General features: G+C 40.9%; 1 annotated feature.

Moving 5' to 3' along the window:
* Nucleotides 231-1430: an enhancer, noted in NCBI's record as "MED14-independent group 3 enhancer chr5:4374726-4375925 (GRCh37/hg19 assembly coordinates)". NCBI's record gives its function as "activates an origin of replication core promoter dependent on BRD2, BRD4, P300/CBP and CDK7 cofactors, and independent of MED14, by STARR-seq in HCT116 cells {active_cell/tissue: HCT116}" and the evidence as "EXISTENCE:reporter gene assay evidence [ECO:0000049][PMID:35650434]".

The following is a 3208-nucleotide window of genomic DNA, read 5'->3' on the forward strand; positions in this document are numbered from 1 at the left end:
AAAAATGTATCTACATTTTCTAAAGTCATTGCAGGAAATTTTACCAACTCCCTCATACACATACTCTCAAAAATGATGACAGCAAATTATAGAGACTGCTCTGGTGTCCACGATGTGAGCAACATAGCTGTGAAATTGAGAAAGGGGAGAGAACATCGTGTGACTCCAACAACCACACAAATGTCTAAAGAATCAAAACCAGTTTTTGCGAAGTTTAGGACACATACATAAGCTGTGAGGCTTCCTCTCCCTAGGCTGTTGGTTGCTATGTTCTCCTATTTTTTCCAACTCTCTTGAAAGGTCATGCTCGTACGTACAAAATGTGTTGCCCCAAACTGATACTCTCTTAAAATAAAAAATAATGCAGAAAAGTTATTTTGCTTTCAATTAAAAAAAACACAAAATATTGAGAATGTATTTTCTATCACATCCTTTACAACAACCACAGAACCGCTCAGCTTCCCAGTCTCCAAATTTTATTTAAATTTTGCCATTTATGACTGTTTCAAAGGGTTTTGTAACACAGTCGTCCCCCTTTATTTGCAGTTTCATTTTTTTGTGGTTTCAGTTACCAGGTCAACTACAATCCAAAAATGTTAAATGGAAAATTCCAGAAATAAAAAATACAGAAGTTTTAAATGGTGAGTAGCGTGATGAAATCTCACGCCTTCCTGTGTCATCCCGCCTGGGACATGACTCCTCCCTTTGTTCAGCACACCCATGCTATCTACGCCTACCCACCCATGAGTCACTTAGCAGCCCTCTCGGTTACAGAAAGACTGTCCTGTTATCTCAGTGCTTGTGTTCAAATAGCAATTATTCGACCTAATAATGGCCCCCAAATGCAAGAATACTGGGCCTAACTTGTAAATTAAACTTTATCAGGAGGTATACGCACAGGAGAAAACAGTATATAGAGAGTTTGGTTCTACTTGAAGTTCTAAGTATCACTGGGGCTCTTGGACTAGATGCCCCTTAGATAAAAGGGGACCACTGTACTTTGTAGGAAATGCAAACTATGTTTCAGGTTGTGTGACAGCAAAATATTCTAAGGAATCTGTGACCAATTAGCCCCCCCATTGTCACTTTGAAGTCACTGTCAGATAATGCCCCTGCCCTCCAACGCCTTCCTTTTATACACATGCAGTCTTCCCTTGACAGCAAACCCAGTGCGATCTGGCCCTTGTCTAAAATTGTGACCCCATCTTATAGCTTGTATTCTAGTCCTCCAGTCCCACCAGCCTTCTTTCTGTCATGGGAACATGAGAGTCATTTCCCGGCCTTATAAACTGTGCTGTGGTTCTTCAGAAAGCCTCCCGTCTGTACCCCATGCCCGTCTGTACCCAGCTGTTTCCTTCTTGTTCCGTAGATCTCAGCTCTCCGTGTTACTTCTCAGAGAAGCCTTCCTTGCCCACCCCATCGACGGAAACCACCCAAGCTTGGTGCCCTTTTCCTGTGCTCTACCCACTGACATTTGCTACTTTCACTTTAGGTTGGTATTTCTGAATTGGGCTATTTCCTTTCTCCTCCCCTAGAGGGAAAGGTTGGTGAGAGCTCAGGCCTTCTCTGTCTTTTCACTGGGCAGCTGTTGTGTCTACAAATGTGAATACAAAGTGTTGTCAGGGAGGCTTGACAGACCTTTGATGAATGGATGGGTGGACAGATAAATAACTAAGTGAATAAAGGAGAAACTACAGGGTGTAGTAACAGAATAACCATCGGTGGATCCAGTTGGTGGGTGAGACTGGAACAGTGTGGACTCAAGCTGCATCTGGTAACAAAGTCAGATGTCATGGTCCAGGTTTAGAGACTGGTTTGGAAAAGAGGATCCTATTTCAGTTTAGAAAAGGGGTGGAAGGGGACAGACTGCAAGTGCAAAGCTGAGCTGGGGGTCCTGACCTTGGTGACTGAGGCGGAAGTGGACAGATCACCTGTCTGGGCTGAATGCAGGATCCCAGGTGAGGGACTGCTTCTGCTTTAATTCAGTCTTTCTAAACAATTGCTTTGTTTATACATGATATGGCATGCATTCAGCCTGAGGATTAATTTCCTCCAAAAAAATCTTCTTTTAGAGGGAATAACTAATGTACCTAGCAGGTTCCCCCATGAAGAGCTTTGCAAAAGATTCCTGTAGCATTTTCAGTTTATAATGAAGTGAGTGGAAATCTTTCATAGAGCACTTCTGTGTCAACACATACTCCATTCCAGCGTTCCCTTTTCACTTGTGTGTTTGGTATTTGCTTTGTTTCTTTTTTCTTGTCATTTTCTTTGACAAGATTCAGCGTAGGGGAAAGGTAGTGACTAACCTGCTGCTCCCAAAAAAACATAAAAGTAACTTGGATTCCAACACTCTTCAACATGCAGCTGTTCATCCTGTAAAGGATCTTGGCAGTTAAAGATCATGATGAATTTTGAAATGCAGGAGATTACAATACTCATATTATCATATTGTTATATGACGATTGTAATATGAAGTTAAAAATAAACAATATGCTGAAAGGCATGGTTGTTGAAATCCTTCTTGCAAAATATAAATAAATTGCTCTCGTAATATTTTTCATGAGAGTTGATTACTGTTAGCTTGTGAAACTAATATGATAAATTAGAACACCCTGGATGAGGTTCTATTTCGTAAGTACACTTACCGTAGTGCTATTCATAGGAAAATTCCTCTGAATTTCGCAGTATTTTACAGAATAGAATTTTATGGACTCTGGCATCAGTAAAGTATGCTGCCAAATAAACTGATCAATAATAAACGTATTATTTTTATTATTATTGTTGTTGGTGATGGTGGTGTTACTTGCAGAGGTCACAGGAGCTGGGCCACCACCCTGCCTTGAGGACATTGCATAGAGAGCTTCTCAACAAGCCAAGACCAAGAAAAAGTAGGTCTGCCCTTCCATGCCCAGTGAATGTAGCACTCATTGTGTTTAGTCTGGGGCTCTCTTTCCTGATTTTAGTTTCAGATCTGTATTTTTGTTACCCTCAAAGAAAAGAGCAAAATTATTGTTGATGTGGAAAATAGAAAAATTTGAGAACAACCAGTTTAAATACCCAGTTTCTAAATTTGAAATCATGTTTCAGTAGATAAATCTGGACATGATGGCCGAATATTACTTTGGGGTTCTTTGAGGGTGAGGGTGCTTACCGCCTACTCATCATGTGGGATTATCGAGGTCCTGCCAGCTTTCCCCTGTGCTACAGA

The sequence above is a fragment of the Homo sapiens genome, chromosome 5, assembly GCF_000001405.40.
Source record: "Homo sapiens chromosome 5, GRCh38.p14 Primary Assembly".
Classification (NCBI taxonomy): domain Eukaryota; kingdom Metazoa; phylum Chordata; class Mammalia; order Primates; family Hominidae; genus Homo; species Homo sapiens.